General features: G+C 40.2%; 2 protein-coding genes across 3 annotated transcripts in view, besides 3 other annotated features; both read left to right on the forward strand.

Moving 5' to 3' along the window:
• Window positions 2049-2098: an enhancer, noted in NCBI's record as "active region_25204". NCBI's record gives its function as "activates an Ori minimal core promoter by ATAC-STARR-seq in GM12878 lymphoblastoid cells {active_cell/tissue: GM12878}" and the evidence as "EXISTENCE:reporter gene assay evidence [ECO:0000049][PMID:35858748]".
• On the forward strand, window positions 2245-22719 carry LTV1 (LTV1 ribosome biogenesis factor). Of its 2 annotated transcripts, none has more exons than NM_001329953.2 (11): window positions 2245-2387; window positions 3393-3524; window positions 4958-5131; window positions 9038-9125; window positions 16210-16490; window positions 16659-16914; window positions 19333-19460; window positions 21011-21150; window positions 21751-21803; window positions 21993-22193; window positions 22324-22719. In NM_001329953.2, coding segments are annotated over exons 5-11 (891 nt in total). In that variant the 5' UTR covers window positions 2245-2387; window positions 3393-3524; window positions 4958-5131; window positions 9038-9125; window positions 16210-16488; the 3' UTR covers window positions 22435-22719. The 2 variants fall into 2 exon arrangements, with proteins under 2 accessions (NP_001316882.1, NP_116249.2); NM_032860.5 differs by having other exon boundaries at window positions 16210-16351.
• Window positions 2279-2488: an enhancer, noted in NCBI's record as "active region_25205". NCBI's record gives its function as "activates an Ori minimal core promoter by ATAC-STARR-seq in GM12878 lymphoblastoid cells {active_cell/tissue: GM12878}" and the evidence as "EXISTENCE:reporter gene assay evidence [ECO:0000049][PMID:35858748]".
• Window positions 2679-2748: an enhancer, noted in NCBI's record as "active region_25206". NCBI's record gives its function as "activates an Ori minimal core promoter by ATAC-STARR-seq in GM12878 lymphoblastoid cells {active_cell/tissue: GM12878}" and the evidence as "EXISTENCE:reporter gene assay evidence [ECO:0000049][PMID:35858748]".
• A 661-nt stretch (window positions 22720-23380) lies between the features above and the next one.
• ZC2HC1B (zinc finger C2HC-type containing 1B) overlaps window positions 23381-24530 on the forward strand; it is a 73870-nt gene continuing 72720 nt past the window's right edge. Inside the window, exon 1 of the mRNA NM_001013623.3 lies at window positions 23381-23474. Within this exon, the coding sequence (NP_001013645.1) occupies window positions 23447-23474 (28 nt within the window). The 5' untranslated portion in view covers window positions 23381-23446. The remainder of the gene's footprint in view (window positions 23475-24530) is intronic.

Here is a 24530-nt window from a genome sequence, read left to right on the forward strand (position 1 = left end):
CTTACAACACATGGGAATTATGAGAGCTATGATTCAAGATGAGATTTGGGTGGCGACACAACCAAACCAAGGTGGGGACACAGCCAAACCATATCAGAAGGTAACTTTCTTATGCTTTTGACCTAAAGAACGATGAGGTGCATAAGGGTTTCAGCCTGCAGAGTGGCCTGACAGGCTGGGAAGCGTAGCCTCCAGCCTGAAGCCAAAAACATACATTCTGAGGGAGGGACAAAGTGAGAGGAAGCAGGGTGGCAGAATATACATATTTAATAAGCTATAGGAGGAATCATGAATATTTATGAAAGGAGAAACATGTACATGTGCAATTGAGCTTCATTGCCCCTTCATGGGTCCTAGGTACAAACAATGGGGCATCAGCATGATCTGAAGAGTTTTCAGCCTCTGATGTCAAAAGGTGAAGTAGAGGCCAATAAAACCCTTACTGTGCCTGCTCCGTAGATTGGCCAGAACCATTCCATAGTGGGTAGTCTGTTACGCACAAAACGGAGGGCAGCAACAGGCTGATATCAGTGGTGGAGTCTTTTGAAAGGGATGGTTTCTATTTATCCCTTAGGGAAGAAAGCCTGATCCTGGTTAGTGAGGGAGGGGATATAACAAGGCAAAGCAAGAACTCAGTTTTCAAGGTTACTCTGGGTCCCCTTGGCCAAAAGGGAGTCCGTTCAGTCAGCTGGGGGGCTTAGTACTTAGTTTGTATTTCTCTTGCCTCATTTTTAGGATTTGTAAGATGCTGAAGATAATTGCGTCTCTTTCATAGTGTTGCAGTGAGGATGAAATGAGATGATTCAGATAAAGTGCCAGAACATTAATTCATTTAAATAAATACTTACTGAGCATATATGCCCCATGCATCAGGCCCCTGATGATACAGCAGTAAGTACAACTGATTGAAAGGAAATGAAAACTGCCCCCTTGGATCTTTTAATTCTATATAATGAATAATAACAACGAATCTCTGGCACATAGGAGTGCTATGTATTATCTCTGTTACAAAGCAATATCCTAAGACAAGTTTTATGGTCCTAACCTAAATTATTTCTATATATATATATTTTTGAGACAGAGTTTCGCTCTTGTCGCCCAGGCTGGAGTGCAATGGCATGATCTCAGCTCACTGCAACCTCTGCCTCCCGGGTTCAAGCTATTCTCCTGCCTCAACCTCCCAAGTAGTTGGGATTACAGGCACCTGCCATCACACCTGGCTAAGTTTTGTATTTTTAGTAGAGACGGGGTTTCACCACGTTGGCTAGTCTGGTCTTGAACTCCTGACCTCAGGTGATCCACCCGCTTCGGCCTCCCAAAGTGCTGGGATGACAGACATGAGCCACCGCGCCTGGCCTATTTCTATAATTTTTACTGTAATAAAAGAATAATACTCCACAAATACTTACAGTGATAATGCCTACGGCATAAAGACACAATCCAGGGTAAGCCATTCATTGAGAGGTCACCAGAAACTGGGAAGTTGGGGAAACAAATTTGAAAAAAAGGTCTGCTGATGAAAGTGACTGCATTTACCACACACTTTCGTCCAAGAAAAGCTATGTGAGTACGCCAACGCCGGCCTGAAATCTTCCTAAGAATGCGTGCTTATAGCCTATTTGTTTAAACAGGGGGAGAAAGTTAACATTCAAACACCAGAGATTCTGAATATATTTTATTAGTTCAAATGCCTCTACAGTTAACAGAGTCTCGGGGGTTTGGTTAACAGGGCAGATGAAAGCAGTTCATGAAACAGTGGAAAATATAACCTGATCAAGTCTGATGCAGTCTATAAAGGCAAGGCCCCAGCCTCCGTTGCTACGGCAACCGACTCCGCCCCCACCCGGAGAGGGAACCTGAAACTTGGCGACCCCAGCACCCCAGCGGGGTGGTCGCCTCCCTTCCGTGTCCGCGGCTTTGTTTTTTATGGTTGGGAATAGGTAAGGGACACAAGTCAAGGGGGATGCTAGATTCGTCCCCTCTGGTCTCCGTAGAGGGAGCTATAAAAGGTTCGTCCACAAGCAGAAACCCCTCTGTGGCGCCTCAACGTTAAGGACCCCCACGATTCCCTTTGCCCGGCGGGAGACTAAAGGCCGGAAAAGTACAGCCCGCCCAGGGGTGGGAGCCGAGCTAGCCCCACCTCCCGGTGGCTTCTCGCGATCGTGGAGACGCAGCGAGCCTATGTAACTTCCGGTCGCGACCCATCAGCTCCTCGGCGATTGGTCCGTTTCCACGGCCGGCTGGGTGACGTTATCGCCGGGTCCTGGGGCTGCACGTGTGGTGAGGCCTACAGAAGCGGCCTTCAGCTGGACCTTGGTCTCCCCGCCGGACTTCGAGGGTGTCATCGCCGCCCCTGTTGGGGGTGAGCGCCGCGCGGCTGCAGCATGGTGAGCAAGCCTTGCTTGTTTCGGCGGCCGAGCGCTGTGGTTTTGCAGAGGCCAGGCTGCTTCCGGTAATACCTTGGCTACTGCGGCCCGGGTCTGGGTCATGCCAGAGGCTGCTTGCGGCACGGTACCCCGAAATGGGCCAACGTCACCACCGTGGGCATTCTTTGCAAGTTACAGTCTCCCACCGCCGAGCCTCCCTGGGATGTGGCCCGGAGAGGAGAATGGCCTTTTTGTTTTATCCCTGGGAGCCTGCAGCCCTGCGTGATTTCGGTTAACTAAAAGCTGGTGACTGCCGACACAAACGCGCAACCCTGTGCTTCTTGGGGTCGAGCAGAGGGAGCTGCTGGTCTCCCTCAGCGTTGGAGTGGCAGGTGTCTGCCTGTCTGTTTCCTCTGAGAAAGGGAACTTGTGGGAGAGCATAAGGTTGGGCCCAAAGTAAAGCCACTTAATTGGTTTCCCAGTTTAGAGAATCAAAATTGAATAGCGAAGTAAGAATGTAGAAAGAGGTGATGGATCTTATTAAACTTTAGCTGTTTGTGTCGTGATTTTATTTACTGGTTGGTAGATGCTCTGTGTGGAGCTGTCTACTCCAGATTATGTTGTGGCAGGCTTCTTGTCATTCTAGTTCAGTCGGCCAGGGGCCTTCCCTGAGCAGCCAGTGTAAAGTAGCTTTTAAGGCATTTTCACGTCACTGTCTTATATTTTCTTCACCGGAAATTATCTTGATTTTCTTGCTAAGAACAGGGACTTTATCTGACTTTCCCACTTCTGTATTCTCAGTTCCCATAACAAGGTCTGGCACAAAGTAGGTGCTCAAGGAATGTTTGTTGAAGGAAGGTTAAGTATGGATTCTGCAGAACACAGCTGATGTTGCCTGCCCTAGAAGTGTAGATTTTTAAAAAGTATCTTTAACATGACTACTAAAGATGCATGTGTGGACTATGGAATTATTCTCCGTCTTTTTGTTCTGTTTTAATTAATTGTTGTGATTTTGTTCCTTTGAAGCCTCACAGGAAGAAAAAGCCCTTTATAGAGAAGAAGAAAGCTGTGTCTTTTCACTTGGTCCACCGGAGCCAACGAGATCCTTTAGCAGCAGATGAGAGTGCACCCCAGAGGGTTCTATTGCCCACACAAAAAGTAGGTCCTGTTCTTTAGCCAGTCAGTTTGTAGGTAGACAATAGTTTTTTTTTTCTTTTTTTTTTTTTAAATAAATAGAGTCTTAGCACGTTGCCCAGGCTGGTCTCGAACTCCTGGACTTAAGCAGTCCTCCCAGCTTGGCCTCCAAAAGTGCTGGGATTACAGGCATGAGCCACCACGCCTTGCTATGTTAATAGTTTTTAATAAATTGTTAGCCAGCTGTTATTCTCAGATAACTGATATTCTGGGAAATAATCTATAAGTTAATTTTCAGTACAATTGGTGATTTTTACATCATTCACATTATTTTGATTGGGAAGACAAAGATCTTTATTTGAGATGTTTAAACGAGCAAATCTTGTAGAATAATGGTAAATATTTACCAAAGCACCAGCTACAATGCGGCATGATGTTATTTAGGGCACCGATATATGCTCAAACTGTGCTTTCTCTAAGATCCTGCCGTTTCATAACCGCAAACTGCATTTTGCCTCCTGCTTGCTCATCTTAGGAAATGTAAAATATCTGAGCTCCTTGGTTAGCTCAGGGAACTTTGCAAGGGAGCCTGGTAAAGATTGACTTAATGTTAGACTCTACTTATTAAGACTCTTAATGTTACACAACACTTATTAAGTGTAGATATTATGAAACAGAGTGTTGGGAAACAGAGTACTGGGGGACATGGGCCACGTTTAGCTTTTCAGTAAAGCCAGTTTTGTTGTATGTTGAGAAGGGTTTTTTTGCATATAAATACAAGAAATTGTACTTACCTTTCAAGGCGCCCAAATCTCTGTTTCCCAGGCTGGCATGCAAAGTGGCTCCATCTCAGCTCACTGCAACTTCTACCTCTTGGGCTCAAGCGATCCTCCCACCTTAGCCTCCAGAGTAGCCGGTACTACAGGCACACGCCACCTGGCCTGGCTGATTTTTAAAATTATTTTGTAGAAACGAGGTCTCACTATTTTGCCCAGGCTGGTCTTGAACTCCAAGGCTCAAGTGATCCTCCTACCTCAGCATCCCAAAGTGCTGGGATTATAGGCATGAGCCACTGCACCTGGCCCCCCAGGTCTTTTCTTATAACCCTCCAAATAGATGATAAAATAAATTGTATGTTTGTTTCTTGACTCAAAATGTTGCACAGAAATGTCTAGTGGAAGGAGCAATTGTTATTTATTTTTATTGCCCTTTTAAAAGCATGAATGTTTTCATTCCATTTTAATGTTACGTAGCACTCTGGTTTTGAAGCTGTACATTTCCTGTTTGTCAAGAATTCTTTGTCTTTTTCCCATCAGCCAAAATGTTCATGTGCCATCTGCCTCCTACTTGGAAAGCTGTACTCATTGTAATATTCCCATGCCTTATCCTTGGAAGGCTTACTGATTCCATTTTGTTTATAGATAGTGAAGAAAGTACTAATTCCATTTCGTTTATAGATAGACAATGAAGAAAGGCGAGCAGAACAGAGGAAGTATGGAGTGTTCTTTGATGACGACTATGACTACCTGCAGCACCTGAAGGAACCATCTGGGCCTTCAGAGCTTATTCCCTCAAGTACCTTCAGTGCACACAACAGGAGAGAGGAGAAAGAAGAAACGCTAGTAATTCCAGTAAGGCTTTTCAGCAATTTAATTGTGGGAGTGAGGTGAAGAAATCATTTTTGAATCAAGATATCTGTTTGGGGCAAGAAATGGTGTCCGTATGAAGAGCACAAAGATAGACCACGCCTCCACTTAAAATTATATATGTGTATGCATGTGTATACCATCAGGAGAGAATAGGTCACGTCTTCTCTGGTGGCAGGTGTCAACAGTAACAGCCTTTTTATAGGTTCAGAACTTTTGATTGATAGACATGGCCATGTTAGACAGCACTTTTCAATAGGAGAAAAGCAGCTGACATTCTACATGTTAACAACATAACTGTTTTCAGGATCATAAACTCTTGTTCTAAGATAGGACTTAACTTTTGTGGAATATTCAGATCTTTAACACTTTTGTAAAAGCTGCAGGCTACTCATAAGCAAACAGAATGAGTGGATGATAATAACATTCCTGTCTTGTAAACAAATGTTCGGTCCACTTTAATACCTTCTCTTTCAGGACAAATGATAGTACGTGTTTATAAGAAATTAGTGCTGTTAGTCTAAGTTCTGTTTTCTCCCCTGTTTATGTTAAGAATGCCCATGTTGTATGCCTCCGTGACCTTATTTTTAATTTGATGTAGAGTAAATTTTCCTGTGGGAAACTTTTATATCACCTAGCACTTTAAAAAAAGGAGACATTCATTAGGTTTATAAGCAAAAGGTAAGAGATAGAAAGGGCACCAGTTTACCCTGCTCCTCATTCCCCAATTCTGTCATGGTCTAGGCATTCCTTTCCTTGGGGAAGATGTGATTGTAGTTCTTATAGGCAATAGCTTGTTGCTTAAGGAGACTCAGAAAGGTTAGGTTTCAGGATACCATCCCAAAGAAAGGTAATAACTGCAGCTGCTCGTTCACTAAGTAGGTTGTGGCTCTTTTGTAACGCCCCAAATCCCACCACATCTCTGTCATAGAGAACCAACTTCTTTATTCCTTCTTCCTCAAGGCTTTATTGGTAGTAGGGACTTATTGGCTCACTTGCTTCTATAACCTATTGAAGGAGAGAAGGGGTTCCTTAGTGGCTCAACTTGTTTATCTAAGGGAGAAAATTCTTAGTAAAGTCTTGCCTGGCTTGTATTGACCAGTACAAGACTAACTTTTGTTGTTGTTGTTATTGTTGTTGAGACGGAGTTTTGCTCCTGTTGCCCAGGCTGGAGTGCAGTGGCACGATCTCGGCTCACCGCAACCTCCGCCTCCCGGGTTCAAGCGATTCTCCTGCCTCAGCCTCCCTAGAAGCTGGGATTGCAGGCATGTGGCACTGTGCCCGGCTAATTTTGTATTTTTAGTAGAGCCGGGGTTTCTCCGTGTTGGTCAGGCTGGTCTTGAACTCCCGACTTCAGGTGATCTGCCTGCCTCGGCCTCCCAAAGTGCTGGGATTACAGGCGTGAGCCACCGCGCCCGGTCGTATAAGACTAACTTTTAATCCTTAATTCATTTTGAGTAAAAGCAATCACTAATTGGCTTTTTAACAGGATAAGGCTCTTAAATGGACACTTCAGTGACCTTTGCAGGGACAGCTGAATTGTATTTAAAAACAGAAGTGTGGTTGGTTTTCTGAAGAGCTATGAAAAAATATGGATTAGTCCCATATACTTTTTTTACTTTAATTTGTAACACACCACCAAATTCGAGTAGATTAGAAATAATGAATAACCCCTAGAAACAGTGTAAGACAGTGTAAAAAGGCAGTATAGAAATGATTGATGCTTGAGCAGGCCCTGATTTTGACATGAAAGAAAGATGGTGGTGCTGTTGTGGAAAGTAGCTGGGCAAATGTCATGTAGTTGAGAACTACTGCAACCAATGAAAACACAGCACTCCTCTAAAAACAGAGTAATTTCTCTTTAAACTCTTAATCGTGTATGTGATTGACTACTTTTCAAGATTTGAAAAATATCTCACAAAGGTAAATTCATTTAACACAAACTGACCTTGTGTTTAACCCCAAACTTCTAAGGATAAATATCACAAAGGTACCTTTTTAAAAACCTAAAAGACTATGTAGATTTTACTACAATTTTAAGTAATTAATAATGTAATATCCTTAAAAAACATTAAATTGTACACTTTAGGTGAATTGTATGTGAATGATGTCTTAGTAAAGCTGTTTTCTTAAAAATATACTCTACAGCAAAATAACATCTTTGCCCATGTTTGTGCTACTGAGAAACTCATTTTGGAAGCCATAACATCTTGCTGTGTGTACACTGCCATATGTAGCCTTTACTCATGCTCCTCAGAGGCTTCCAATTCAGAGAGCTTTCTCAGTGAGCCAATGAGGATGCACATTCCAGCTTTGTGCCTCCTCCTGGGCTGAGGATAGGGCAGGTGGTGAGGTGCACAGAGATAAATAACACATGGCGGTTGTCCTCACGTTATGAACTGTTTGGTCAAGGAGAGGAAACAAGCATAAGAACCAGTCAGAGAATGTAGGCTAGCAAGCACATGTTTGAGTAGATTGCAGCGTGTGAAGAAGGCGGGAAGTTCACACAAAGGGAAGTTCTAGGACAGTGATCAGAAAGGGCTTCATGTCGGAGGGTAGGAACCGAGCTGGCCACCAAGTGGTGGGTACTGTTGACAGGAGAAGGAACATTTTCAGTCAGGCTGCCGAGACAGTGAGCACTGTGGTTCCGTGTCAGGCACATGCGCGCCAAGTAAAGTGTTTTGCATTATTACATGACTGAGGAATGAACTTGATTTGCATGGTCATATAGAATAACTGAGAAATTTGGATACACAGAGTAGGCCTTGATTTTATAGGTCCTTGAGAACCAGGGCCTTAAATACAGAGTGAAAAATTGAGACCTGTCAGAAACTCAAGAAGGTCACATGAAAAACTATTAAAGGAGCTTAATCTCGCCATGGGTATGAAGGTTGTAGTAGATATAGACTAGCTATATGAGCGGTTGCAGTCATTTATGTTTTGGTTAACTATAAATGAGGTGATGCCCCAAAGAATAGAGTGAAATCACTGTATGTAAGAGATTTCAAGGGGACATAGGACAGAGCAAAATGATTTATAACCACCCGAGGATTTAAGATTGCCAATTCATACAAGGGCTGTGCCATTACTAGAGATTAGGACATTATCTCTAGTTTAAGAGGAAAATGTTTAATTTTGGTTTGAAATTTCAGGCAAGTGGAGTTAAGAAACTCTGGGATTTGAATCCCAGAATCTCACTTACTGATCATTCTCAGGCAGGTGGGCCATTTAAACTTTCCTAGTTTTTGTTCTTTTGGTAAAACATGGTGATACCTCATGGGATCTGAGGGATAAATGGAATAATTTGCTAGAGAAGGCATTGTGATGTATTATAGAGAGTTACTTTTGGGTTTATGATGGAATATACATGTTTAACATATATACAACCTGGAGCACAGGTGAGAGAACACAGAATGTAGTTGTAATAGTTTCCTAGGACTGCAGTAACAAATTACCACAAACTAGGTGACTTAAAACAACAGAAATTTCTTCCTTCATGGTTCTGGAGGTCAGAAGTTTGAGATGAAGGTATCAGCAGGTTTGGTTTTTTTCTTGGGGGCTTAGAGGGAGAGGCTGTTGAATGGCTCATTCCTAACTTCCGAAGGTTACCGGTGATCATTCCTTGGAATTCCTTGCCTTATAGAGGCCTCACTCCAGTCTGCTGTCATCTGCACATGGCATTCTCCCCTGTGAGTCTCTGTCTTCATGTGGTCTCGTTATAGGACCATGGTCCAGTAAGACCTCATCTTATTATAGTTGAGAGGACCCTATTTCAAATATGGTCAGTCTAAGGTTCTGGATGGACATTGATTTGGGGGGGACTTCAACCCGGTACACTAGTTAAGAAGAATTTCCAAATAAACCTAACCATTGTGCAATTTCTTTTTCAAGAGCACTGGAATTAAGTTGCCTTCATCAGTGTTTGCTTCAGAGTTTGAGGAAGATGTTGGATTGTTAAATAAAGCAGCTCCAGTTTCAGGTATTTTTAATTGCTTTATCTTTTCATATGGATAAATGTATTTTGCAAAACATAAAGAAATGATGTAGGATTTTTCTATCCCCAGTAAAGTATTGAAACAATTGAGATATGTCTGGAATTCAGATCAGGGATTATTAGGAAGGGATGAATGTGATCTTTGTATTTTTGTATTCCTACCATCAAATCTTTATATCTTTTGAGTTCCTGTTTGGAGAGGAAAGTGGGGAAACTATTCTTGGTAATCTAGTTAGGGGAATTGTAACCTTCACATAACCTCTTGCAAAGATAGTGGTATTAATTATTCATTACTTGTAGTGTAATTTTGAAAAATAATCTGTTTTTCAGAATTTCTCCCCAGAGCATACAGGTATTTTTATGGAAGTTCATTTTGCCATCTACACATATATTGGGGGAAATTTTTTATTTTTAATTTGTAGTACCAACACTGTATTTCAGAACAAACACAAAAGTCTACAGAAGTGGTGTTGGTATTTTCTCCCAAGTTGCCTTAATTATTAACTAACACCTGTCCTGTGGCATTCATTAATTAATTTATTGTACAGATTTTTGAGTTGCCACTGTCTGTGTGGCAGGGCCTTGGGTTAAAACAGAATAAAGCATAGTCTCTGACCCAAGAATTTACCTCATTTGGGAAAAATAAACAATAAATGATAAATTACAGTATAGATGGATATTAATAGTGGGGTGAGTAGCACCAAACCCAGCATCACAGGGTTGGGCAAGGCTTTCTAAAGAAGGTGATATCTAGTTTGTTTCTTAAGTAAAAGTTAGGTAGGTGGAAGAAGGAGGGGGAGGGGTGGGGACCAGAGGATGTTCCAGACAGAGGACTGTATGTCCTAAGGCAAGAGAACGTGAATATAGGTAACTATACACATTTTAGCCTGCCCAGAAGGAAGGGTATGGATTAAAAAGAAATGAGGCTGGAGGGTTAAGTAATGGCCATGTAGCAGAGGGTGTTGGAGGCCATGTCAGATGATAAATTTGGAGTTGAAAGTTTTTCATGAACTTGAGTTTTTTGTTTTCATTTTCTGCTCCTTGTGGAGCAGGGCTAAGTCCTAAGCAGTGTGCCCAGAGTCAGCCTAGTATATTTATAGATGGAAGAACATATCTGAAGAAACAGGTAGGTATTTATTAAAATCGCAAAGTCAGAAAATACTGAAAGTATAACAGTCTAAAAATTGTTCGAGTTATTTTTAACAGGTGAATTTAAAGGCCAGTTTCTTCTTGCAGACAAAAGCTTTGAATTATGCTAGACAAAGTTAAACATTATAGATGTTTAATGGAACATTATTTTCACCAGTGGATATTAAAAGGAGAAGCATCATTTCTTTTTTCATTTTTTTTTTTAAATTATACTTTAAGTCCTGGGATATATATGCAGAATGTGCAGGTTTGTTATGTAGGTATACACGTCATGGTGGTTTGCTGCACCCATCAACCCATCATCTACATTAGGCATTTCTCCTAATGCTATCCCTCCCCTAGGCCCCCATCCCCCAACAGGCCCCAGTGTGTGATGTTCCCCTCCCTGTGTCCATATGTTCTCATTGTTCAACTCCCACTTATGAGTGAGAACATGCGGTGTTTGGTTTTCTGTTCCTGTGTTAGTTTGCTGAGAGTGATGGTTTCCAGCTTCATCCATGTCCCTGCAGAGGACATGAACGTGTCCTTTTTTATGGCTGCATAGTATTCCATGGTGTATATGTGCCACATTTTCTTTATCCAGTCTGTCATTGATGGGCATTTAAGTTGGTTCCAAGTCTTTGCTATTGTGAACAGTGCTACAATAAACCTACGTGTGCATGTGTCTTTATAGTAGAATGATTTATTATCCTTTGGGTATGTACCCAGTAATGGGATTGCTGGGTCAAATGGTATTTCTGGTTCTAGATCCTTGAGGAATCGCCACACTGTCTTCCACAATGGTTGAACTAATTTACACTCCCAACAACAACATAAAAGCGTTCCTATTTCTCCACATCCTCTCCAGAATCTGTTGTTTCCTGACTTTTTAATGATTGCCATTCTAACTGGCGTGAGATAGTTTCTCATTGTGGTTTTAATTTGCATTTCTATAATGACCAGTGATGATGAGCTTTTTTTCATGTTTGTTGGCTGCATAAATGTCTTCATTTGAGAAATATCTGTTCCTATCTTTTGCCCACTTTTCAATGGGGTTGTTTGTTTTTTTCTTGTAAATTTAAGTTCTTTGTAGATTCTGGATATTAGCCCTTTGTCAGATGGATTGATTGCAAAAATTTTCTCCCATTGTGTGGGTTGCCTGTTGACTCTGATGATAGTTTCTTTTGCTCTGCAGAAGCTCTTTAATTTAATTAGATCCCATTTGTCAATTTTGGCTTTTGTTGACATTGCTTTTGATGTTTTAGTCAAGAAGTCTTTGCCCATGCCTATATCCTGAATGGTATTGCTTAGGTTTTCTTCTAGAGTTTTTATGGTTTTAGGTCTTACGTTGAAGTCTTTAATCCATCTTGAGTTAATTTTTGTATAAGGTGTAAAGAAGGGGTCCAATTTCAGTTTTCTGCATATGGCTAGCCAGTTTTCCCAATGCCATTTATTAAATACGGAATCCTTTCCCCATTGCTTGTTTTTGTTAGGATTGTCAAAGATCAGATGGCTGTAGATGTGTGGTGTTATTTCTGAGGCCTCTGTTTTGTTCCATTGGTCTATATATCTGTTTTGGTACCAGTACCATGCTGTTTTGATTACTGTAGCCATGTAGTATAGTTTGAAGTCAGGTAGTGTGATGCCTCCAGCTTTGTTCTTTCTGCTTAGGATTATCTTGTAAATTACTTTGGGCAGTATGGCCATTTTTATGATATTGATTCTTCCTATCCATGAGCATGGAATGTTTTTCCATTTGTTTGTGTCCCCTCTGATTTCTTTGAGCAGTGGTTTGTAGTTCTCCTTGAAGAGGTCCTTCACATCCCTTGTAAGTTGGATTCCTAGGTATTTTATTCTCTTTGTAGCAATTGTGAATGGGAGTTCCCTCACAATTTGGCTCTCTGTTTGTCTATTATTGGTATATAGGAATGCTTGTGATTTTTGCACATTGATTTTGTATCCTGAGACTTTGCTGAAGTTGCTTATCAGCTTAAGGAGATTTTGGGCTGAGATGATGGGGTTTTCTAAATAGACAGTGATGTTAATCTGCAAACAGAGACAATTTGACTTCCTCTCTTCCTATTGGAATACGCTTTATTTCTTTCTCTTGCCTGATTGCCCTGGCCAGAACTTCCAATACTGTGTTGAATAGGATTGGTGAGAGAGGGCATCCTTGTCTTGTGCCGGTTTTCAAAGGGAATGCTTCCAGCTTTTGCCCATTCAGTATGATATTGGCTGAGGGTTTGTCATAAATAGCTCTTATTATTTTGAGATATGTTCCATCAATACCTAGTTTATTGAGAGTTTTTAGCATGAAGGGGTGTTGAATTTTATCAAAGGCCTTTTCTGCATCTATTGAGATAATCATGTGGTTTTTGTCATTGGTTCTGTTTATGTAATGGATTACGTTGAACCAGCCTTGCATCCCAGGGATGAAGCCAACTTGATTGTGGTGAATAAGCTTTTTGATGTGCTGCTGGATTTGTTTTGCCAGTTTTTTATTGACGATTTTCGCATTGATGTTCATCAGGGATATTGGCCTGAAATTTTCTTTTTTTGTTGTGTCTCTGCCAGGTTTTGGTATCAGGATGATGCTGGCCTCATAAAATGAGTTAGAGAGGAGTCCCTCTTTTTCTATTGTTTGGAATAGTTTCAGAAGGAGTGGTATCAGCTCCTCTCTGTACCTCTGGTAGAATTTGGCTGTGAATCTGTCTGGTCCTGGGCTTCTCTTTTGGTTGGTAGGCTATTGCTGCCTCTATTTCAGAACATGTTATTGGTCTATTCAGGGATTCCACTTCCTCCTGATTTAGCCTTGGGAGGGTGTATGTGTCCAGGAATTTATCCATTTCTTCTAGATTTTCTAGTTTATTTTCATAGAGGTGTTTATAGTATTCTCTGATGGTAATTTGTATTTCTGTGGGATCGGTGGTGATATCCCCTTTATCAATTTTTATTGTGTCTATTTGATTCTTCTCTCTTTTCTTCTTTATTAGTCTGGCTAGCAGTCTATCTATTTTGTTAATCTTTTCAAAAAACTAGCTCCTGGATTCATTGGTTTTTTTGAAGGGTTTTCGTGTCTCTATCTCCTTCAGTTCTGCTGTGTTTTAGTTATGTCTTGTCTTCTAGGTTTTGAATTTGTTTGCTCTTGTTTCTCTACTTCTTTTAATTGTGATGTTAGGGTGTCGATTTTAGATCTTTCCTGCTTTCTCCTGTGGGAATTTAGTGCTATAAATTTCCCCTTAAACACTGCTTTAGCTGTGTCCCAGAGATTCTGGTATGTTGTGTCTTTTTTCTCATTGGTTTCGAAGAACTTATTTATTTCTACCTTATTTTTGTTATTTACCCCGTAGGCATTCAGGAGCAGGTTGTTCAGTTTCCAAGTAGTTGTGCATTTTTGAGTGGATTTCTTAAACCTGAGTTCTAATTTGATTGCAGTGTGGTCTGAGAGACTGTTTGTTATGATTGCCATTCTTTTGCATTTGCTGAGGAGTGTTTTACTTCCAATTATGTGGTCAATTTTAGGATAAGTGCAATGTGGTGCTGAGAAGAATGTATATTCTGTTGATTTGGGGTGGAGAGTTACGTCACTGTCTATTAGGTCTGCTTGGTCCAGGGCTGAGTTCAAGTCCTGAAGATCCTTGTGAATTTTCTGTCTCGTTGATCTGTCTAATATTGACAGTGGGGTGTTAAAGTCTCCCATTATTATTGTGTGGGAGTCTAAGTCTCTTTGTAGGTCTCTTAGAACTTGCTTTATGAATCTGGGTGCTCCTGTATTAGGTGCATATATATTTAGGGTAGTTAGCTCTTCTTGTTGCATTGTTCCCTTTACTATTATGTAATGCCCTTCTTTGTGTTTTTTGATCTTTGTTGGTTTAGAGTCTGTTTTATCAGAGACTAGGATTGCAACACTTGCTGTTTTTGCTTTCCATTTGCTTGGTAAATATCCTCCATTCCTTTATTTTGAGTCTGTGTGCGTCTTTGCACATGAGATAGGTCTCCTGAATACAGCACACTGATGGGTCTTGACTCTTTATCCAATTTGCCAATCTGTGTCTTTTAATTGGGGCTTTTATCCCATTTACATTTAAGGTTAATATTGTAATGTGTTATTTGATTCTGTCATTATGATGCTAGCTGGTTATTTTGCCCATTAGTTTATGCAGTTTCTTCTTAGTATCGATGGTCTTTACTGTTTGGTACGTTTTGCAGTGGCTGGTACCAGTTTTTCCTTTCCATATTTAGTGCTTCCTTCAGGAGCTCTTGTAAGGCAGGCCTGGTGGTGACAAAATCTCTCAGCATTTGCTTATCTGGAAAGGATTTTATTTCTCCTTCACTTACAAAACTTAATTTGGCTGGATATGAGATTCTAAGTTGAAAATTCTTTACTTTAAGGATGTTGAGTATTGGCCCCCACTTTCTTCTGACTTGTACGGTTTCTGCTGAGAGATCCACTGTTAGTCTGATGGGCTTCTCTTTGTGGGTAACCCGACCTTTCTCTCTGGCTGCCCTTAACATTTTTTTCTTCATTTCAACCTTCGTGAATCTGACGATTATGTGTCTTGGGGTTGCTCTTCTCGAGGAGTATCTTTGTGGTTCCTGAATTTGAATGTTGGCCTCTCTTGCTAGGTTGGGTAAGTTCTCCTGGATAATATCCTGAAGAGTGTTTTTCAACTTGGTTCCATTCTCCCTATCACTTTCAGGTACACCAATCAAACATAGAGATTTGGTCTTTTCACATAGTCCCATATTTGTTGGAGGCTTTGTTCGTTCCTTTTCATTCTTTTTTCTCTAATCTTGTCTTCACGCTTTATTTCATTAAGTTGATCTTCAATCGCTGATGTCCTTTCTTCCACTTGATCAATTCGGCTATTGATACTTGTGTATGCTTCACAAAGTTCCCTTGCTGTGTTTTTCAGCTCCATCAGGTCATTTATGTTCTTCTCTAAACTGGTAATTCTAGTTAGCAATTCCTCTAACCTTTTTTCAAGGTTTTTAGCTTCCTTGCGTTGGGTTAGAACATGCTCCTTTAGCTCCAAGGAGTTTGTTACTACCCACCTTCTGAAGCATACTTCTGTCAATTCATCAAACGCATTCTCCGTCCAGTTTTGTTCCCTTGCCGGCGAGGAGTTGTGATCCTTTGAAGAGAAGAGGCATTCTGGTTTTTGGAAATTTCAGCCTTTTTGTGCTGGTTTTTCCTCATCTTCTTGGATTTATCTACCTTTGGTCATTGTTGTTGGTGACCTTTGGATGGGGTTTCTGTGTGGACGTCCTATTTGTTGATGTTGATGCTATTCCTTTCTGTTAGGTTTATTTCTAACAGTCAGACCCCTCTGCTGTAGGTCTGCTGGAGTTTGCTGGAGGTCCAGTCCAGTCCCTGTTTGCCTGGGTATCACCAGCAGAGGCTGCAGAACAGCAAAGATTGCTGCTTGTTCCTTCCTCTGGAAGCTTTGTCCCAGAGGGGTACCCGCCAGATGCCAACCAGAGCTCTCCTCTATGAGGTGTCTATTGACCCCTGATGGGAGGTGTCTCCTAGGCAGGAGGCACAGGGGTCAGGGACCCACTTGAGGAGGCAGTCTGTCCCTTAGCAGAGCTTGAGCACTGTGCCGGGAGATCCGCTGCTCTCTTCAGAGCCGGCAGGCAGGAACGTTTGAGTCTGCTGAAGCTGTGCCCACAGCCGCCCCTTCCCCCAGGTGCTCTGTCCCAGGAAGATGGGAGTTTTATTTATAAGGTCCTGACTGGGGCTGAGGCAGCATTTTGTTTCCTTTTTTTGTCTTGGAGTGTTCATTCTTTATTCTTCACTAGACTGAACTTAGTTCTTAATCGTTCTTTTATCCTCAATATATTAATAGACTCTTGCTATCATAGGTCCTTATATTGTGAGTTAAGTGAATGAATTGTTGCTATCTTGGGAATTACTGCTTAATTTTTGTTTTCCTTCTAGGACCTCGACTGGATTTTGATCCTGACATTGTTGCAGCTCTTGATGATGATTTTGACTTTGATGATCCAGATAATCTGCTTGAGGATGACTTTATTCTTCAGGCCAATAAGGCAACAGGAGAGGAAGAGGGAATGGATATACAGTATGTGTGGTTTGTTTCAAAGCAGAGATGATGACCTAAGTGTTACTGCTTCAGTGGGATGGTAACCATAGAACGTTACAGTTGGAAGAGACCTTCAAGAGCATTTAATCTGAGACTTCTGTATTTTAGAGCAGAAAATGTGAGATTCATTGCTTTTCCTACCAAACCAGATTGATCAAACACCCTCACTCTTCCTGCCTAGACAAGAACCCTTCCTGAAATACCTTCCAATTTTACTTGTGTAAAGTGGTTTTGTTCTGTTACTTTTTAAGTTGTTTTGGTAGGTAATTTATGACCTTTACTTTAGGAAATCTGAGAATGAAGATGACAGCGAGTGGGAAGATGTGGATGATGAGAAGGGAGATAGCAATGATGACTATGACTCTGCAGGCCTATTGTCAGATGAAGACTGTATGTCTGTGCCCGGAAAAACTCACAGAGCTATAGCAGATCACTTGTTCTGGAGTGAGGAAACAAAGAGTCGCTTCACGGAGTATTCGATGACTTCCTCAGTCATGAGGAGAAATGAACAGCTGACCCTACATGATGAGAGGTTTGAGAAGGTAAGGTCCCCACATAAGGGATGCTTTAGTACTATCTTATGTTAAATTTTTTTTTTTAATACCTGTCAGCTTTAGCCCAGGTTGAAGTGCTCACCAACCACAAAGTCAATCATAGGAAGTTTACAACTATCCAGCTATAGGTTCGTGTAGCCAGCATAAAGCAGAAGGGTATCAGTGCAGTACAGGAGCACAAAGACTGCAAAGGGAGCATAGAACTGTGCAGAAGAAGAGTAATTGGTTAGGAGGATGTGACTTTTCCAATTTACATCACACGCTTACACCAGGAGGTGGCTCAAATGATGCCTCATTCAACCTGAATGGGTAACCAAAAGTAGCTGTAATAGTTTTATTCTCACTAACTGTGGTAGGACAACTCACTTGAGTTTCTATTTGGCCCTTAAAACCCCCAGAAGTGGCCCTTAAACCCTCACCATCTCTAATGTTGTGCTTCTTTATTATGTATGTCATATATGGATTTGTCTCAGATTAGAATGTGAATCCCCCAAGGGCAGAGAGTTTTTTATATTTTGCTCACGATACATCTGAAAGCCTAAAATGGTGTCTTGGCATGTAGTAGAAGTTTAAAGTGTTCCATAAATGATAAATGAATGAAGGAATAGTTTCCTTCAAGGTGACTCTAAAGATAGAAGCAGTCCACTCAAGGACCTTGACGAAGCCGAGCGGGTTGAGGTTGATCTGGAAACTGGAACATCCTCTGGCCAAGTCAGCTGATCCGCCCGCGAGCTAAGTAGATGTTAGGCGCCTTGCTGTGTGCCTTGTTTTTTTTTGTTATTTTTCTTTTTTTATTTTTTAAAAAGAGAGATTGGGACCCAAAGCTAAAACTTTTGAGTGTTGAAAACAGCGTATCTCTTTATTAAAACAGAGCATAAAAGCACCTTAGTTATTGTCGTTTTCCCTTTACATATTCTATGAGGCCAGTCACCCTAGTTTTGATTCTGGAAAGAACGTGTGTAGGTCAAAAGGAGTTGGCTGATCAAACGTTCTTATTTTCCCCCTTGAATTCTGACATCCTGATTCTGAATTTCTCCAACAGTAATCCATAAGATGCTATATTTCTGAAGTATTGGCCTGATTGAGCACATCAAAATTCCATTTCTTTCCGTTTCTCATCTGGTGTTTTCAGACATAACTAACACTGAGGAATAGAATGGAAGTAGAGTATAAGACACTTTTGAAAGCTTGTATTTTCATATACTCTATTTGGTTCTGTTGTAACAGATTAGCTCCAGGGTTTATAATCCCAACCTATAGACTGTTTATACAGGTTTTTAATCCCACCTATCCTGTTGTTTGTTCTGTAGCACATAACACCTCCTAACATCATCTCTAATGTTGTGCTTTATTATGTATGTTATATATAGATTTGTCTCAGATTAGAATGTGAATTCCCCAAGGGCAGAGAGTTCTTTGTATTTTGCTCACGGATACATCCAAAAGCCTAAAATGGTGTCTTGGCATGTAATAGAAGTTTAAAGTGTTCCATAAATGATAAATGAATGAAGGAATAGTTGCCATCCAGGTGAATCTAAAATAAAGGCTGTTACCTTGCTACCTTCTCACCTAATACTATTTTCCCTCTTCTCTTGAGGGAGAAACAAACTGTTGCTACAAATCTCACTCTTCAGGAGATATATCCCCCCCATTTACTCTTTGTCAAAGCTTAACAGTGTCAACACCATTTGCATAATATAGTAATTATTGTCTAAACAAGAACAAATATATACATTAGTAGGTGAATTTTCAGTTGCACAATCTTTTAGTTTGCATAACTAAGGAATATGAAAATATCTTTAGTCTAGGCGTAGTGTCTCGTGCCTATAATCTCAGAACTGTGGGAGGCCGAAGCAGATGGATCACTTGAGCCTAGGAGTTTGAGACTGTCTTGGGCAGTGCAGACCCTGTTTCTATTTAAAAAAATAAATAAAATGGCCTGGTATGGTGGCATGTGCCTGTGGTCCCAGCTGCTTGAGAGGCTGAGGTGGGAAGATTGCTTGAGCCTGAGAGTTTGAGGCTGCAGTGAACTATGATCACGCCACTGTACTCCAGGCTGGGAGACAGTGAGATACTTAAAAAAAAGAAAAAGTATCTTCAAAAATGTTCTGACGTAATCTGTGCTGCCTAGCATTTTGTTCTCCAAGCTGAGTGGAATAATGCCTTTCATTTACATGTTAAATGGAAGCCTATTTTTAGGCTAAATGTAAGTCTTAAAGTACTGAGCAGAAATATCTTCCACATCCTATTGTTGCATTAAATCCCTACTGATATTTTAATGGTAATTGTGATAGTACCTGAATAACTATTGTGTAAGAATAAAGTTAATGTAAAAAAATTTTTAAGTGTGTAGTCTTACTGAGTACATTTGCTTTTCATGGTATCTTTTCTCTGTTTATATTCAAGTTTTATGAGCAATATGATGATGATGAAATTGGAGCTCTGGATAATGCAGAATTGGAAGGTTCTATTCAAGTGGACAGCAATCGCTTACAGGAAGTTTTGAATGACTACTATAAAGAGAAGGCAGAGAAGTATAGTGACTTTTCCTTCCTTGTTTAGCTGTTCTTTTTTTTAAAAAAGAAAAAATTCCAAAGAAAGGTCTATAGTATAACTGAATTGAGGAAAAAATTAACCTAGTCAAAATACATATTGAGAAAATGAAAAAGGAAAAAAGAAAAGGGGAAAAAAAAAGATAGGGCGGAAAAAAGAAAGTGGTACATTTTCCATAAACTTGGGTCATGTATAGCTCATTGTTTTGCCTACATTTTGGTGTTAAATGTTCTGAAGTAGAACGTAATGGGAATATACGAGGAGCCACTTTCTCCGTATCTTTGACTGGAGAAGAGTCATGGTAGAATGTGTATTCGTTTATTAAATTTTTTTTTTTTTTTGAGACGGAGTCTTGCTCTGTTGCCCAGGCTGGAATGCAGTGGTGCGATCTCAGCTCACCTGCAACCTCCGCCTCCCAGGTTCAGGTGATTCTCCTGCCTCAGCCTCCTGAGCAGATGTGATTACAGGTGCACACCACCATGCCCAGCTAATTTTTGTATTTTTAGTAGAGATGGGGTTCCACCATGTTGGCCAGGCTGGTCTCAAACTCTTGACCTCATGTAATATGCCTGCCTCGGTCTCCCAAAGTGCTGGGATTATAGGTCTGAGCCACTGTGCCTGGCCAATTTTTAATTTTTTTTTAACTTTTATTTATTTTGCTTAAAAGTTTTGTTTTGATAGAAGCATGAATATTATTAGGGTGTGAAATATAAGGACAGGCTGGGCGTGGTGGTGTACACCTGTAATCCCAGCTGTTTGGGAGGCTGAGACAGGATCACTTGAACCTGGAAGGCAGAGGTTGCAGTGAGCTGAGATAGCACCACTGCTTCCAGCCTGGGTGACAGGGCGAGACTCTGTCTCAAAAAAAAAAAAAGAAATAAAGGGACACATTCCCCTTGGAAAATAAGATCGTGTTTCTAGTCTTTTGGGCTGAAGAATTATTCCAAGCATACGCTTTTTTCATCTTTCTGAAATGCCAGGTGTTCTGAGAAGTAGGTATTTACATCTCGTGGAAAGACAAGAATTTGTCTCTCCAGCTGGATTAGCGGAACTGACCAGCCAGTTATTTTGGCAAATCAGCATCCACATCAAGGTGACTCTTCTCTGAGAGAAACTGATGAAGTGTTCAAATCAGCTAGAAAGGTCTGATGTTCCATGATCACTATAATATATAGATCCCATAGCAGAAAAAGAAGCTATATAGTTGAGTGAAATATTCGAATACTTTGCAGAGACAGATGAGTTATGCTTTTTTAGGCTTTAAAAACCTGTTTTCTTAGGAAGCTGCCTTGGAAAGACACAGCTAGATGTTACCTTCCTATCAGCCGAGTGAATGTCCAAAACTCACTGGAGGGAAGAGGCAGGGCTGGGTAGAACAGAGTTTGACAGAAAATAACGGATGGGTCACTGGAATATGTGCATTTAAAACATTGGTTTTTCCACAGCTAAAAATTGCAGTTTTAGTGACATAGTATAATAATAGGTCATTTTTCCCCCTCTTGGTCTTCACTTTTAAAAACTCGTCTAAAAGTTGTGTAAAATTGAATACCCTTGAACCCTTGGAGGATCAAGACCTGCCAATGAATGAGCTTGATGAGTCTGAGGAGGAAGAAATGATTACTGTAGTCCTTGAAGAAGCCAAAGAGAAGTGGGATTGTGAATCTATTTGTAGTAAGTATATTCACTTTATGATAGTAATTTTAAAGTATTAAAGTATATCAACTTTAGGCTGGGTGCGGTGCCTCACGCCTGTAGTAATCCCAGCACTTTGGGAGGCCGAGGCGGGTGGGTCACCTGATGTCAGGAGTTCAAGACCAGCCTGGCCAACATGGTGAAACCCCGTGTCTACTAAAAAATACAAAAATTAGCCAGGTATGGTGGCAGGCAACTGTAATCCCAGCTGCTCGAGAGGCTGAGGCAGGAGAATAGCTTGAACCTGGGAGGCAGAGGTTGCAATGAGCCGAGATCATGCCATTGCACTCCAACCTGGGCAACAAGAGCAAAACTCTGTCTAAAAAAAAACATATATCAACTTTGAAAAAATACATATATTTTAATAAGAGTTAGGCTTTTAGGAAATTTGTGAAAAATTATTTGGAAAGAGTAATATTCCAATACTGAGTTGTAAGCAATTTATAAAACATTGATCAGAGACTCCAGTGTTATTTTGCACTATGAAAACACAAGGTCAGAAATATAGTAGGAATTCAGTAATGCTTTGTGGAACTGAAAACATGCTTACTGATACATGACTTTTATTTGTTTGTTTAGGTACATACTCAAATTTATATAACCATCCACAGCTTATCAAGTATCAACCAAAGGTAAGTCCTAGTGTGCTGAGCTATTTGAAGGATGCAGTGCATAAAAAATAGAGTGCACATTTTCGCACAATAACTTTTTATCTTTATGGCTAGAGTGATATTAGAAAAAGCATCAACAGTATGTCATTAATGAGCTATTTTTTAATAGGAATGAGAAGTAACTCTAGTACCATTTTATCTGTATTTCAGCCCAAACAAATTCGAATATCTTCTAAAACAGGAATACCTCTCAATGTCTTACCAAAGAAAGGACTCACAGCAAAGCAAACTGAAAGAATACAGATGATTAATGGCAGTGATCTTCCTAAAGTATCAACTCAGCCACGTTCTAAAAATGAAAGCAAAGAAGATAAAAGAGCAAGAAAGCAAGCTATAAAAGAAGAGCGCAAGGTAAAATATATTTTTCAAATGTGAGATTTACAAAGAGCTGGTGGAGGGGAAATTAGGGGAATTTTGTAAAAGCAGTCTGTATCAGTTTAAAGATGTGAATAATACAAGTATATTCTTGTACTTATAACAGGAACGAAGAGTGGAGAAGAAAGCTAACAAATTAGCATTTAAACTGGAGAAAAGAAGGCAAGAAAAAGAGCTGCTGAACTTGAAGAAGAATGTTGAGGGTCTAAAGCTATAGACAGTGGAGCATACAGGGCAAGGCACTTTATTAGGGGCTCCTCATCTTTGGTTATTGACTAGAAACTTCAGAAAGACAAAACTGTTTGCCATTTTTACTGGCAGATAAGAGGAAAATACAATATTTGTATTATTTTTATACTAGTAAGTGTCCCCTGCCAACCATCTTGTAAATATTGTAATACTTTAATTTTTAATATTATAAGCTTACATTTGCTCTGAAGTAAATGACTTCATGAATGTGAAATGTTTGATAAATTAAAGGAAAATATCTTCATAACGTGAATGGAATTGGTGTATTCATTTATTTGTATGGTTGTCATAGTTGTTTTTTGCAGATGTTTTCAAATATTTCTTTGAATCCTCTCCACGCCTTTTCAGGAATTACATGGTTTAATTTGCTGTAAATAGAAAAGTGGCCTGGTTAAACTCAATTTTGAAATGCTGACTTTATTCTGTTTAGTGTAAGATGAGTTTTTCTGAGAAGGTTCCACTGTTAGGAAGCTAAGTTTTCCCTTGCTGTATACAAAGGACTGTTTCAAAAGTGTGGCAAAACTGAATATTAAGGTTCTTAAGATTCATATTTCCTGTTATATTACTGGATGACTTGCTTTTGGGATTTAGGAACAGTGAAGGCAGGAAACAGAATAGTCAAGGAAATAAGAAAACTTATTTGGCTTCAGTGAGTCCCTAGTTCAAAATCAGAAATATTTATTTCAGTTTAAACTGGGGAGTTTGTCTTTTCAACATCAGTTAATGCTTGGAACCATTCATACTTGATTAAAATACATCGTTGAAAACTTTCCCTGTTTTTGATGAGTTGATTTTTGTTTTAACTGATTTAAACTTTTTCAAGGTTTAGGCAATGACATCATCACAATTGTTGATTATTTGGTAAACTATGACTTCTTGCAACAGATTAGTGGTCCTGGTTTATGTTCTTGACTAGTATGATGTTATCTGGACTGGGCTGTAAAAATCTGTGAACACTGTTGCTCTGAGTTAGGAACAGAATGGCTGGGGCAGAACCATTTTTGGCAGGTGAGCTGCACTTGATATCTAAATTATTAGAAAATGCCTTCATCTGTAATCATTCATTTATGGCTTTTCCAAAGCTGGTAGGTATTAGCTTGTTCTACCATGTGTGATCCGTTTAAATCTAAGTATTGTAGGATTTTTAAAGAGTTGTCAAAACTGATGGCATTAGGTATTCTACCAACATTGGCTAGAAAAAAATCTTGACTGAAGAGCTTGTCATTGCAGAAGTAGGATACTGGAGAGAATGTATTTAAATGCCAACCTGTGAAGTAAAGGGTCAGATGATGGTTTATGTCAATATTGAGAATGTAAGTACTAAAAGGATTGGCCATTTATTTTGATAGCTGTCTCAACTGAAGATTCTCAAAAACAGCAAGAGTCTTAATAGGCATTGGATGTTTCTTTGTCATGTTACTCAAATTCTGTGTTATGAGGTGCTAACTTCACTGTGTTTAAATCCATATATTATATATTTTGCAATTAAGAGAAAAAGACTAGGCCATGAGTCTTGATGAAGCATATTGTGATTTAGGCAGGTTATACTCCAAACTTAAATATTTTAATTTTATTCTGAAGAACAAATTCATGATACTTTAAATGAATTTTCTGATATCTTGGTTCTCTAAAAATCTATAAATGATGATTGGGAACTGAACATAAAAGCTCCATGCTAAATGTTGGGAGCCCAAGAGATCAGAGGGTTTTTGCCTTCAGGAGCCACATGGTCTGAGGAGGCAGGATAGGTGCAGCGAAATGTAACTGGCAATACTATCGTGGTAAGTACCACTTGTAATTAGAATCTTGGTACTTGCTGTTCCCCCAGAAGTGCTTTCACTGCAGACAGACCTTCCTCATGGTTGGTGCTCAGCTGTAACCTTCACTATAGGCTATTCCCTGAGCTTGTATTTAAAAATCCTGCACGCATCCCTCCCCTGCATCCTTGACCCTCCTTCCCTGGTTTATGTTCTCCACAACATCTGTTGACGCAGAGGACTGTTTTTCAGTCTCCTCTCGCAGGACAAACCCTGAAGGCACAGTGTTTTATTTATTGCTTTATCC

The sequence above is a fragment of the Homo sapiens genome, chromosome 6 (genome assembly GCF_000001405.40).
Source record: "Homo sapiens chromosome 6, GRCh38.p14 Primary Assembly".
NCBI classification, from domain to species: Eukaryota; Metazoa; Chordata; class Mammalia; order Primates; family Hominidae; genus Homo; species Homo sapiens.